This window comes from Homo sapiens, chromosome 13, assembly GCF_000001405.40.
Source record: "Homo sapiens chromosome 13, GRCh38.p14 Primary Assembly".
Lineage (NCBI taxonomy): Eukaryota > Metazoa > Chordata > Mammalia > Primates > Hominidae > Homo > Homo sapiens.
Window position 1 is genome coordinate 40,655,097 of NC_000013.11, and position 13,354 is coordinate 40,668,450.

At 48.5% G+C, this 13,354-nt stretch overlaps 1 protein-coding gene across 1 annotated transcript in view, besides 6 other annotated features; it reads right to left on the minus strand.

The window, feature by feature from the left end:
• FOXO1 (forkhead box O1) overlaps positions 1–11,545 on the minus strand; it is a 110,975-nt gene extending 99,430 nt beyond the window's left edge. Inside the window, exon 1 of the mRNA NM_002015.4 lies at positions 10,487–11,545. Within this exon, the coding sequence (NP_002006.2) occupies positions 10,487–11,116 (630 nt within the window). The 5' untranslated portion in view covers positions 11,117–11,545. The remainder of the gene's footprint in view (positions 1–10,486) is intronic.
• Positions 9,284–9,363: a silencer, noted in NCBI's record as "silent region_5280". NCBI's record gives its function as "represses an Ori minimal core promoter by ATAC-STARR-seq in GM12878 lymphoblastoid cells {active_cell/tissue: GM12878}" and the evidence as "EXISTENCE:reporter gene assay evidence [ECO:0000049][PMID:35858748]".
• Positions 9,664–10,173: a silencer, noted in NCBI's record as "silent region_5281". NCBI's record gives its function as "represses an Ori minimal core promoter by ATAC-STARR-seq in GM12878 lymphoblastoid cells {active_cell/tissue: GM12878}" and the evidence as "EXISTENCE:reporter gene assay evidence [ECO:0000049][PMID:35858748]".
• Positions 10,694–10,743: a silencer, noted in NCBI's record as "silent region_5282". NCBI's record gives its function as "represses an Ori minimal core promoter by ATAC-STARR-seq in GM12878 lymphoblastoid cells {active_cell/tissue: GM12878}" and the evidence as "EXISTENCE:reporter gene assay evidence [ECO:0000049][PMID:35858748]".
• Positions 10,834–10,973: a silencer, noted in NCBI's record as "silent region_5283". NCBI's record gives its function as "represses an Ori minimal core promoter by ATAC-STARR-seq in GM12878 lymphoblastoid cells {active_cell/tissue: GM12878}" and the evidence as "EXISTENCE:reporter gene assay evidence [ECO:0000049][PMID:35858748]".
• Positions 11,204–11,733: a silencer, noted in NCBI's record as "silent region_5284". NCBI's record gives its function as "represses an Ori minimal core promoter by ATAC-STARR-seq in GM12878 lymphoblastoid cells {active_cell/tissue: GM12878}" and the evidence as "EXISTENCE:reporter gene assay evidence [ECO:0000049][PMID:35858748]".
• Positions 12,384–12,433: an enhancer, noted in NCBI's record as "active region_7613". NCBI's record gives its function as "activates an Ori minimal core promoter by ATAC-STARR-seq in GM12878 lymphoblastoid cells {active_cell/tissue: GM12878}" and the evidence as "EXISTENCE:reporter gene assay evidence [ECO:0000049][PMID:35858748]".

A 13,354-nucleotide genomic window follows, 5' to 3' on the forward strand; every position in this document is an offset into this window, starting at 1 on the left:
AGGCCAAGGTGGGTGGATCAGTTGAGGTCAGGATTTCGAGACCAGTCTGGCCAACATGGTGAAACCCCGTCCCTACTAAAAATACAAAAATTAGCTAGGTGTGGTGGTCTCTACTATTACAGGTGTGCCTGTAATCCCAGCTATTTGGGAGGGTGAGGCAGGAGAATCGCTTGAACCTGGGAGGCAGAGGTTGCAGTGAGCCAAGATTGGGCCACCGCACTCCAGCTTGGTGACAGAGTTAGACCCCATCTCAAAAAAAAAAAAAAAAAAAAATTAGACTGGCCAGTTCCATATTGTTTCCTAGTTGGTTTTGACTAGTTTTGCCTGACATCATTAACAATCATGCAAGTGTGAGATCCTGGTGCGTCTGAAAGCTATTTTCTCCACGTGGAAGGTAACTTAGACATTTAATAAAACCTCACGGTAGTGGGCTTTTTCATTTATTTAACTGTCCCCCACCCCTCATCAGCAATGTACCTTTTAAATAAAATGTCTGCTTCTATAGGGATAAATATATTAGTAAAATAGTTTTCTACACTTCTTTTTTTTTTTTTTTTTTTTTGGCAGAGTCTTGCTGTCGCCCAGGCTCAGGCCGGAGTGTCGTGGCATAATCTCAGCTCACTACAGCCTCCACCTCACAGGTCTGAGGCATTTTCGTGCCTCAGTCTCCCAAGTAGCAGGGACCACAGGCATGCACCATCACCACTGGCTAATTTTTTGTATTTTTAGTAGAGATGGGATTTCACTATATTGGCCAGGCCAACTCCTGGCTTCCAGTGATCTACCCACCTCAACCTCCCAAAGTGCTGGGATTACAGGTGTGAGCCACCGCGCCCGGACAGCTCTCCTCAACACTTGCCATTTCTAAATGGCTGATGAGTGTTATTTAATCTACAACTGTGCCTTCTGATGTGCCACAATGCCATTTTTACTGCATAAACCTTTTGGTTCAACATGAGCTAGTCAGACTCACTCCAAGTACACTTAACAGTTAATACATTCAGTCCTATTGGACTGTAATGGTGTCAGTTTTGCATTTGGCCTATCCAAATTTAACCTCCTCTGGATCTATTGAAATATCCCATTATAATCTTCATTCTTGCATTTGGGTTAGTGGGAAGATAATTATTGCAATAAGAAAGCCATCAAGGATATCTAATATTTAGCTAAGGCAATATTAGAACTGACATTTACATTTTGAAGTATCTTTTCAAGCCAATATAACCTTCCCTCATAATTGCCTTAAGTATATTTTGAAATTGCTGACTTCAATTCAGAATTTCTCATTTTTCAAAAAAGCAAGACTTAATTTAATAGTAATCTTTCTTTCTTTGAATCACTCTGCTACCAGGACACTGGGCCTCACTGAAGTTAATTTTAAAGAACAGATCAAGCAAAAAGCTAAATACATTGTAAATGCCAACTATTCACATTAAGTCAATTACATAATCTGTTCTATGTATTGCCAAATTCCGTATGTCAGTTTCAAAATCAACTGCAGTACACTGGCTATAAATTGCATTCCATAGGTCTCCATATTTACACAAGTGTGTTCCTAAGTAGTTGCATTTTAAAATTGTTTAATGTAATCATATTTTCATAATTTCTTATTTGGCAAAAACAAAGATATCATTTGATAAATTTGGTCCATAACACAGCATTATTTTCATAATATGTCCTTTCTACCTATACTTTTCAAACTGTTTGTGTATTTCACATGCCTATCACTCTGAGAAATTTTTTTTTTTTTTTGAGACCGAGTCTCTCTCTGTCGCCCAGGCTGGAGTGCAGTGGCACGATCCAGGCTCACTGTAAGCTCCGCCTCCTGGATTCACACCATTCTCCCGCCTCAGCCTCCCGAGTAGCTGTGACTACAGGCACCCGCCACCACACTTGGCTAATTTTTTTCTGTCTTTTTAGTAGAGACGGGATTTCACCGTGTTAGCCAGGATGGTCTCAATCTCCTGACTTCGCACTCAGAGAAACTGATGCTTCCCATATTTTCAGGCCTTTATGAATGCCAGTCCACCATCCCAAAAATATATCTTGAAAATAAGATGAACTAATGGACAGAAAGATGTGCATTTACACAGATATATGATCAAGCAAGCATAATGAAATGTCATTAGTAGAAAAGGTAGTAGAAATTCTTCCAATTTTGCTGAATGCTTGAAAATTTTCATAGCGAAATCGTAAGGGAACAATCTCCCATCCTTTTTTTTCTTTTTTTTTTTTTTTTGAGATGGGAGTCTTGCTGTGTCGCCCAGGCTGGACTACAGTGGCGTGATCTCGGCTAACCGCAACCTCCACCCCTCCAACCCCCTGCCCCAAGTTCAAGCAATTCTCCTGCCTCAGCCTCACAAGTAGCTGGGACTACAGATGCATGCCACCACACTCACTTAATCTCTTCTATTTTTAGCAGTGACAGGGTGTTGCCATGTTGGCCAAGCTGGTTTCTAACTCCTGACCTCAAATGATCTGCCCACCTTGGCCTCCCAAAGTGCTGGGATTACAGGCATGACCCACTGTGCCAGGCCCAATCTCCCATTTTCAAAGCCTGGTTCAACGGCCAATACAGAACTTCATTTTTCTCTAAGACACTTAACTCTTCCCACTGTATATCATAGTTACTTACACATTGCATCTAGTCTTCCTACTGGATCTATGTTTTGAGTCATTGCTACCACTCAAAAACACCTAGCACATCTTGTACACAGTAATTATTCAACAAATAAATGGAAAAAAAAGGACTCTGACAATCTGTTGAAAACAAAATAATCACTGTTCTTTAGTTATACTACTTCTTAAATTATTCTCACATGATACAGACTGTGATATTCTCAACACACAGGAAGCTGAAATATAAAAGACCCATGTATCAAGAAAGAATTTTTTTCCTAACAACATATTTACAATGTAACTGAGAAGCCAAGACATACAGACATTAAAGTTAAATTATATATAATACACAGCAGCATGAATTAAAAGATTACCAGATATTCACTCAGAGGACAAAAATTCCTCTGGGTAGGAGCCAAGATTGGAAGTTGGTGAACTGACTTGAACCTTGCACACTGAGCAAGATCTGCTGAATTTCAGGGCTCAAGATGATCTAAGCTCTGGGGACAGGAGCGTCTAGGCCTGAAATACTAAAAGCTAAACGAGGGGAATGGTTAGCGGGTAGGAACGGAAAGTCTCAACAGACCCTGAGAAAGAAGAGTTAACAGACTTGGGAACACTAAACACCAGGAGAGTGCTCAAGAAGACACCAAGGTTTGAAAACTAGGGAAAGAACTAACTAGACCATTAACCCAACTGGGGACCTTGAAATGAGCCATCTGAGGGCAGGGGGAAATACAGTATGTTCAGTTTTAGACATGCTGGATTTGAGATAAAAGTGGGACCTCCAGAGCCTTTAGGTAACTGGATACACAAGGCAACAGAGAGTAAGTTACCTAAGAAAATACCAGAGAAAAAGTCCACAACTAGTCCTGAGGTATACTTATGAATGAGGATAGGAGAAGGAAAAATAAGCGAACCAACTGGAGAAGCCAGATGGCAGGAGGACCATTGTAATGGAATCCAAGATAAGAAACGATTTCTCAAAGCAAAGCTAAGAAAAGGAAGACGTGGCCGGGCGCAGTGGCTTACGCCTGTAATCCTAGCACTTTGGGAGGCCGAGGCGGGTGGATCACAAGGTCAGGAGATGGAGACCATCCTGGCTAACACGGTGAAATCCCGTCTCTACTAAAAATACAAAAAAAAATTAGCCGGGCGTGGTGGTGGGCGCCTGTAGTCTCAGCTACTCAGGAGGCTGAGGCAGGAGAATAGCGTGAACCCGGGAGGCGGAGCTTGCAGTGAGCCAAGATTGCACCACTGCACTCCAGCCTGGATGACTGAGCAAGACTCCATCTCAAAAAAGAAAAAGAAAAGAAAAGGAAGACTTAGGCTGGGCCCAGTGGCTCACGCCTGTAATCCCAGCACTTTAGGTGGGCAGATCACGAGGTTAGGAGTTCGAGACCAGCCTGACCAACATGGTGAAACCCTGTCTCTACTAAAAATACAAAAATTATCCAGGTGTGGTGGCATGTGCCTGTAATCCCAGCTACTCGGGAGGCTGAGGCAGGAGAATCACCTGAACCTGGGAGGCAGAGGTTGCAGGGGGCTGAGATCACGCCACTGCACTCCAGCCTGGGTGACAGAGCAAGACTCCGTCTCAAAAAAAAAAAAAAAAAGAAAAGAAAAGAAAAGGAAGACTTAGACACACACACGCCCAACTCTCATAAAGAGTGTAGCTTCAGGGATCATCAGAACAAAAACCAGAATTGGGGGCTACACAGGCTAATTCCCTAAACAGCTCTCCCTTGATTTTTTTTTTTTCCTGTAATGAATATGGCTTGAAATAAAGGACACATTTTGAACTTATGTCCTTATTAAAGTAATAAGTGAAGGTAAAAATTCACTAAATTGTATGATGAGGAGCTGCAGATTTACCTTTTTAGTAGTATTTGACTTAATATCAAAACTAACTTGCTTTTTTGTTTTCCTTTTTAGTTTTTATCAAAACTATACAAAAATGGATGAAAGAAAAAAAAAGTAGCCCAAATGCCTGCCAAGTAGCAAGAATAAGTCAACCCTAGATTCAACTATTGGCGGTGCTTAACCTACAAGTTGATAAACCACAGGGAGAAGACGGAATAGAGTAAACTGGGATGCTAATGAATAAAGCAAGTTTTTAAAAAGGCTGAACCATATAAAATAGCCAACGTACAAAAATGTGTTTTTCATGTTTCCTATGTTCCTTAGAAGACTACAAATAACAAGTAGTAATACCTACAAAAGAATTTCTGTGCCACTGACTTGATTTTTGTTCATCCTCATCAGCAACTGGCAAAGAGGAAGATGTCTTCCACACTCTAAGTATTTGTACACAGCATATCCCTTAGGCATCAAAATACATACTTTTTCAAGTACATGTGGTCTTCTGTTTCACAGCTGAGGAACACCACCAGAAGCATCAGAATTCTTTATGTACCAAGAAAAGGTGCTTGGTTATATGACCCCAGGGAGATCCTGGGGGGGCTGGGCAAGTCTCTGCAAGTTGTTGCTACAAAGGCAAAGGCAAATCTTGAACTGCAGGGAAGCAGACCAACTCCCACACAATTGAAAATTCTGCCTTCCCCAATCACTATGTGGTATTTACACTGCCTTTCCAAGAGGATCCCCAAAAAGCCCCAAAGCTACAGCACATATAGGCCAAAAAAATGGCTGGGTAAATTCCCATGATGCCAGGGAACTGGGTAGTTTCCAAGGGCAGAGTGTTCCAGAAAAATGCAAATCATTCAGGCTTCCCCAGAGAAATTCCAGCCAAATACAGCTGCTATCTTAGAAAGCCTAACACAAAACTGCAGTTTAGATGCTTGGATGAAGGGGCTAGAAGCACAAGGACAGGCAACATGTTTACAGTCTGCAAGGCATTCTAACTTGCCACTGAATATTCTTCCCCCTCATCCCATTTCGTATCGCCTCGGAGAAGATTCCTTGTGTGTGCGGAGCATGAAATCTATGTGTCTGCTGCTAATGTGATACCTTTTCAGCAATTTTGGGATCTTGAAGACCTTTAACTTTTTTCAAGTTTACATGAGAATTAAAATGCCTTATTTTCAATAGTCAAGTGTTTGTCACTTAAAAAAAACTAGTCCATGAGCAGTGGCTCGTGCCGATAATCCCAACTATTCGGGAGGCTGAGGTGGGAGGATCACTTGAGCCAGGGGCAGGCAGAGGTTGCAGTGAGCTGAGATCAAGCCACTACACTCCAGCCTGGGCAACAGAGTGAGACCCTGGCTCAGAAAAACAACAACAACAACAACAACAACAACAACAACAACAACAAAAATGAGAATCATTCAAAAAGAGGCCACTCTTCTCGCCATCCCCTCAACCAAGGACATGCCACAAAACCATGCGTAAAAAGTAAAGCTCTTGGGAGTCTGAAATGAAGTATTCCAATTTGGCATCTATTTTGGAATTTCTGAACAAAATGTTTTAGCTCTCAAATAGATTCAGGTAACTTTCAGCCCTTAATAAGATGCTACATTTAGCTGCATAACCCCCTCATCCATTTTAAATTATTTCTTCATTATCGCTTCCCCAAGTACATATACAGGATTATCAAGGCTTTCTTCTTTTTTTTTTTGGAGACAGGGTCTCCCTCTGTTGCCCAGGTTGGAGGTCAGTGACGTGATCTCGGCTCACTGCAACCTCCGCCTTCTAGGTTCAAGCGATTCTCCTGCCTCAGCCTCCCGAGTAGTTGGGATTATTGGCACGATAGCTGGGACTACAGGCACCTGCCACCACACCCGGCTAATTTTTTGTATTTTAGTAGAGATGAGGTTTCACCATGTTGCCCAGGGTGGTCTTGAACTCCTGAGCTCAGGCAATCCGCCCACCTTAGCCTCCCAAAGTGCTGGGATTACAGGTGTGCGCCACCACGCCCAGCCTATCAAGGCTTTCTTTAAGGTAATTTCAGTGACAATCCAGAAGTAGGAAAGATGTCTCAGATCCTCTAACCACTCGGTCTCACCAGGATTCTCTAAGTCAAATGTGACCATGCAACAAAAAAGCAGCCATCTTTCTAACGGGATCTCTGTGGCTGGTTCAATTACTCACCTATAGATTATACCCAAATTACAGAATATTTATTTCAAAACATAAGGAAATCCACTGTCAGTTCATAGGCCAAATAAGAAACATCACTCCCAATTAAAGATTTATCTTAAAAATAAAAAGCTTTGGGGCCAGGCACGGTGGCTTACGCATGTAATCTCTGCACTTTAGGAGATCAAGGCAGGCAGATCACGAGGTCAGGAGTTCGAGGCCAGCCAAGCCAATATGTGAAACCCCCTCTCTACTAAAAATACAAAAATTAGCCAAGCATGGTGGCACGTGCCAGTAGTCCCAGCTACTCGGGAGGCTGAGGCAGAAGAATTGCTTGAACCTGGGAGGCGGAGGTTGCAGCAAGCCGAGATTGCGCCACTGCACTCCAGCCTGGGCAACAGAGTGAGACTCTGACTCAAAAAAAAAAAAAAAAAAAAAAAAAAGATATTTATCTTTAAATCAAAGAGGATACCTCTAATAAAACAATCTAAAAATTTATTTAACAAGAGTTAAGTGGTATAGTCAAAGTCATTCTTTTAACCTAAAGTGTTCCTAATAATATCAAAAGAGTCAACTCAAAACTGCCATTTATTAAAAAAAATCAGAGTTCAAACTACCACTTCCCAAGCTTTAGAAGGCTTTCTATGTGAAAAAACAGGTCATGGAAATGAAGTTTCATTATTTATAAATACTGCACTAGATTTAGAAGATCCCGGGTTTTCCAAAAGTCTTAGGTTCCACTTTGTGTGTGACCTTATAGCAATTCTAGCCAATATTACAACAAGTGTAAGACATTTAACATACCATCCCCACAAACACAAAATGCATATCCTTCAAATATAACCAGCACTTAACTATCTAAAGAATGACATTAAAAGTTTTTGAATTCATTAACAGTTTTCCAACTAGTTTGTCCTATGCAAATGACTCAAACTTTCAGGCAGGCCCCAGGAAGCAGCACACAAGAAACTATTTAATTAAAGATTCAGCCTAATTCCCAGTAGTAAATCACAGGAAATATTTTGTGCCAAAGCAACCTCTCCTCGGTCCTAAAACAGTTAAGTTTTGGTTGCTTTGCATTTAAAAACTGGATTTAAGTTAAAATTCATAGTAAAATTTCTCTTTTATGACTCTTAGAACAGGAGTCTTTCAGATCTGAGAGTGAAACTTGGTTTTAACAAGTAACTCATTTTTATGAAACTAACCAAAAGACTAGTTATGAGTTAGAACAGCTCAGGTTGTTTCTTTTCTTCTTAAAATACCCTTTTACTCAAACTGAAAATGTACTTGCTGCAATCAGACTTAAACCAACTGACATTACACCTGAAACACTTACTCATTTGAGAAAGGCAGCCTACTCCAAAGCAAAGCCCCATTAGGCTCCCACTGGGAGCTGCCCAAGGGCCTCCAATTCCAGACAGATAACTTAACAGGTCTCCTAGCTCTGGCAAATAAATTTAAAAAAAAACTAAATTATTCTTGCATTTTTAAAAAAATCAGAACAAGAACCTGATAAAAATGGTTGTAAAGATGATTTAACATCAGAATCTATTTTTTAAAAACCTAAATCTTAAAAAGTGTAAGCATATTCCTAGTTTAAGACTAACACTCTGACAATGCCATTTGAGACGCAAAACTAAAAATATCCCAAAACACTTCCTTTATCTTTAAAGAAAGGCACTCCAGCAAGTTGAAGTAGGTTGTATCCATTTCCAAGGACTAAAGAATGGTGTAAGTACACACTGTACTTTGAATGCAAAAAAAGGGGGGAGGATTTTTTTTTTAAATGGCTAATACTCTGTAACAGCTGAAGTGGAATTGATAGATGAGCAAGTAAGTCAAGTACTTAAATTCAAATGTTAAGTAAAACAAGATTTGGCAGACAATTTCGATTTTGTGACTTAATAGAATATATGCTGAACTTAACGGTAAGAAGGCACTTTACTTTTTTGAAACACTTGGTAAAATTGCATGTAATGCCTGGTAATGAAGCGATAAGTGATACCTTTACTCTAAAACACACTTTGGAAAAAATAAAATGAATCTTGAATTCCTTCTAAAGGAACTTCAATAAGGTGTGAGTAACTTAACCCTTTTGACACGCATTAACCACAGGGATGACACTGTGTGTAAAATAACCTTGGTGTTAACAACTGCGCAGCAAAGACCAATCTTTATTATGCCGTGGAGTCCAATATGAGAGGCGAAGAAAGGTATGTTTTAAAAAGGTGTTTAGCTCGGCCGGGAACGGTGGCTCACGCCTGTAATCCCAGCACTTTGGGAGGCCGAGGCGGGCCGATCACGAGGTCAGGAGATCCAGAACATCCTGGCCAACATGGTGAAACCCGGTCTCTACTAAAAACACAAAAATTAGCTCGACGTGGTGGCTCGTGCCTGTAATCCCAGCTACTCGGGAGGCTGAGACAGGAGAATCGCTTGAACCAGAGAGTCGGAGGTTGCAGTGAGCCGAGATCGCGCCACGGTACTCCAGCCTGGCGACAGAGCGAGACTCCGTCTCGGAGGAGGGGAGGGAGGTGTTTAGCTCAACTAGACAGCCTTTACAGCAATTCCGCCACCGGTGACAGTGAGAAACTGTCAGCTTGGGGAGGCCGCGCCACGACTGGACCCCGCCCCCGGGAAGCCTCCCCGGAGCCGAGGGCCCCCGGGCCTTCTCCTCGGAGTCGGGAAGTGCCTGCCCCCACGCTAAGTCTCTCCTGGCCACGCTCTGAAAGGCAAAAATGGCAAAAATCCTCCTTCAAGGCACCGCTCCCTCGACGCGCACCGCCACTCCGACTCCCTCAAAACATTGGTCGCAAAGCCCCCCCGCCTGGTCCTCCATGCTCAAGAATAGGGTGGCAAGGCAGGAAAAGACTCACACATCCCAGCCCCCGGCCCCTCAGGGCAGCCTCTGTGTTTCTAACTAAAAGCCTCCTACCAGGGGCAAGACCAAGTTCGGGCGCTTCCCCGCATGGAGAAACGCTGGCCCCACGGCGCCCGGCCCCGACGCGCTGGCCCTTTAAAGGCGCGGGCTTCCTGCGCCCGGGGCCCCTCCCACGCCACCGCCACCGCCACCGCCACCGCCCGCGCCCGCCCCCGCCGAGGGTCACACTTGAACTTTAGCTCGCCCCGCGCGGCCAGGCGCCGGCGCTCCGCAGGCGGTGGCCGCCCCTTCGCACGTGTCGGAGGCACCACCTCGGGCTCGGGACGCCGGGCCCCCGGCACTCGAGGCCACTCCGGAGAAAACCAAAACAAAGCAAAATGCGCACCGCCTCCAGAAACTGCCCGGCAGGCCCTGCACCGTCCCCGGCCGGTCGCGCCCTGCCTGTCCCCTCCACCTGCAGCCCGGTCCCGGGGCAGCGAGGCTCCGGGGCCCCTCGCCGCGCCCTCCCCCGCCGCGCCCGGCGGAAACAGCTCCGCGGCGCGGCCGGAGAGAACCCGCCCTCCCCCCGCGGAGGTCCGGGAGGGAAGGGGCAGCCGAAGCAGTCGGCGCGGGCCGGGGGTTGCCGCTCCCAGCGAACCCCTTTCTCCTTTCACTGGCAAACTTTTCGGCCTCGCTCTGACGTCCACTTCTTGGCGCACTTTCTTTACTTAGTTCCCCAACGAGCCCCTTACCGCGTCCCACGCGAACTCCTGACTGGCGCGCACGCACACCTACTGCCGTCCCCGACCGGACCCGGGCGAGGCCACCGCGACCACCGCTTCTCGCCCGCCCTCCTGGGAACGCGCTGCCCTCCTGCTCCGCACCTTCAGGCCGAGCAAACCTGCACAGCTGCGCCCTCGCCTGACCCACCGCGCCCCCAAGGTCCGGCCGCGCGCCGAGTCCACTCACCTTCCAGCCCGCCGAGCTGTTGCTGTCACCCTTATCCTTGAAGTAGGGCACGCTCTTGACCATCCACTCGTAGATCTGCGACAGCGTGAGCCGCTTCTCCGCCGAGCTCTCGATGGCCTTGGTGATGAGGTCGGCGTAGGACAGGTTGCCCCACGCGTTGCGGCGGGACGAGCTGCTCTTGCGCGGCTGCCCCGCGAGCGGCCCAGCGGCGGCGGGGGGCACCGGCGGGTGCTGCGACAGCGGCCCGGGCGGCGGGGGCTGCGGTGGCGCTGGGTGCAGGCAGCCCGCCTCCGGGCCCTGGAAGTCCCCGCACAGCCCCCCGGTGGCGGCCGCGGCGGCCGCCGCCGCCACCGCCGCCGCCACGGAGCCGGGCGCCTGCGGGAAGTCCTCGCTCTCCTCCAGCAAGCTCAGGTTGCTCATGAAGTCGGCGCTGACAGCGGCAGCCGAGGCCGAGGGCAGGCCCGCCGCGGCGTCGGGGTTGGCAGCCGCGCTGCCCGACGGCGCCGGGCTGGAGGTGGCCGAGTTGGACTGGCTAAACTCCGGCCTGGGCAGCGGCCAGGTGCACGAGCGCGGCCGGGGCAGCGGCTCGAAGTCCGGGTCGATCTCCACCACCTGAGGCGCCTCGGCCATGGTGACCCCCGCCCCTCCCCCAGCCGCAGGAGAGCCAAGAGGGGGAGAACGCAGCACTGGGGGCGGACGGGGAGGGGGCGCGAAGGGACGGTCCGAGATTTGGGGGAACGAAGCCGGTGCGGCGAGCGGACGGAAACTGGGAGGAAGGCGCGGCGGAGTGGAAGCGCGAGCCCAGAACTTAACTTCGCGGGGCCATCCACATCGAGGCTCCTCGGGGTCCGCCGCACGGACTGGACGGCCGGCCAGAGCCGCCGGGCCGGGGCAGAGCCTGCGCCGCGCTCCAGCTGACAGGGCCGCGGACGGAAGGACGGACGGACGCCGCGGGCCGCTTGCTCTCCCCAGCGGCGCGCCCGCTGCGCTGCTGCCTGTTGAATGTGGCGGCTGCGGCAGCGGCTGCTGCGACTACCAGGCCGCCCGACTTACGGGATCTGCCGCCGCCCCCCGCCCGCGGCGGCGCGCGCGCCGGCCCGCCCCTGACCGACAGCCCGCGCGGCCAATGGGCATGCGGCACCGCCGCCCGGGCAGCCAGTGGGCGCCGGGCTGGGTGGGGCCCGGTTTTCCACGGGGAGGCGGCGGTGGGCTGGTGGGGGGTAGTGGGGTGTTTTTCTCTTTCACACACTCACCTCCTTTTTTTTTTTTTGGATCTCTATTATTTTCTGGTAATTCTCGAGTGTTTCTGTGATTCTCTCGCCTTCTCAGTGTTTTGATTGCTAGGAAGCAAACCAGCGTGGAGGCGCCGGCGACACTTTGTTTACTACGGAGCAGCAGAGCCGAGTACTCGGGAAGCCCGGGTGGGAGGAGGCGCTCGCTGCTCCCTGACCTCCGCTGCGGGCCGAGCCCGGCGGGCTGGCAGGGCAGGGGGCCGAGGGCCGGGGGCGCGGGGTGGGCGGGCGGAGGCGGCCGCGAGGAATTCTACTCAATCGCTCCCTCCTGGCTCCACCCACGATGTCTTTGCTGAACGACGTGGGGAATCGGTGGGTTTTGTTTTGGTTTAATGTTTTCTTTCGCTGCGATCTGTCAAGTCCTCCGGCCCCCTCGCGAGCGGCACACGCCCCCCACCCCCGGCGCCGCGGCTCCTGCAGTCGAGTCCGCGCCGAGGGACCCTTCTCCGTGCCCACCGGTCCGCACCCCCGGGCTCAGCCTGTGCCATTCGGTCTAGCCAGAGGCGCGTCACCCAGCCGGCAGCCCCCAGCCGGATTCACTGTATTCTTGACCTTTTTTAAAATGCTAGAAATGAGGAACAGGGGCTCCGGCGCGGGGAGGAGATTATCTGGCCTCCCTGAACACACGAATCCAAAGGCACCCGCGACCGCATGCCCTCCGTGGGAACCTCTTCCCCTGGGCGGGAATCTCCCGCTCCGTCCACTAAGTCCAGGGCCGGCAGCGAAGGGCTCAGGAGCGCAGTTAGAGAGAACCAGGTCATTTTATTACTTATCCCTAATTAAATTTAGCTGTTTGTTACTTCTTTTTTATTTGCAACGGAAGTGATCGGGTGTTAAGTAAAAACGCAAGGGGGGCGGGAGATAGGACCAAAGCCTTGGGGCGCAGCCTGCCCCACCCCCAAATTCCTTGAGGCTACTTGCTGTGTGTGTCAGTCAACCCCCCACCCACACCCCACCTTTCCTCATCTGGGCTGCAGGTCCAGGACATCCTGTCAAGGATCAGTGGGGCCAAAGGTGGGAAGATAATGGCCCTTGTGTCTCAAGCAGAAGAAACAGTTTTCCAGTTTTGTTTTGTTATGCTTTTGCTTTTTTAGGAAGAATATGGAAGGCATTTCCTTTTAGAAAGATGGGACCACTTAGGATGGAAGATGGACAGTAGGGTTTTAAATATCTTGTCCAAAAGGACAGCTTCCAACTCTTGTTTTTTAATCCCTTTCTTTCTTACAAGTAATTCTGCAATGGAAAAAGTGGCATCTAGAGAAAATTAGTCAGTTGGACAAGAGGTTGTTGAAAAAATAAAAGAGAAAAGAGGGGAAAAAAGGAAAAATTAGGCCTCTTACAAAAGTTAAAAAGATTGAGAGAGATTATCTTTCTTCTTTTATATTCTCACTATCGTCTCTCTAGTCCGGGCTCCTGTTTCTTCATAATCTATTTATCACAACAGCTTCTTGCTGATACTAGGCATGGGTGGGGTGGGGAGCGTGAGCCGGATGGATTGGGGACGGGCGGGGACTGGTTCCCACCCTGGTCTTGTGGTCTCTTCACGTTTACTATCAAATTTGGACAGTCTGGGCCT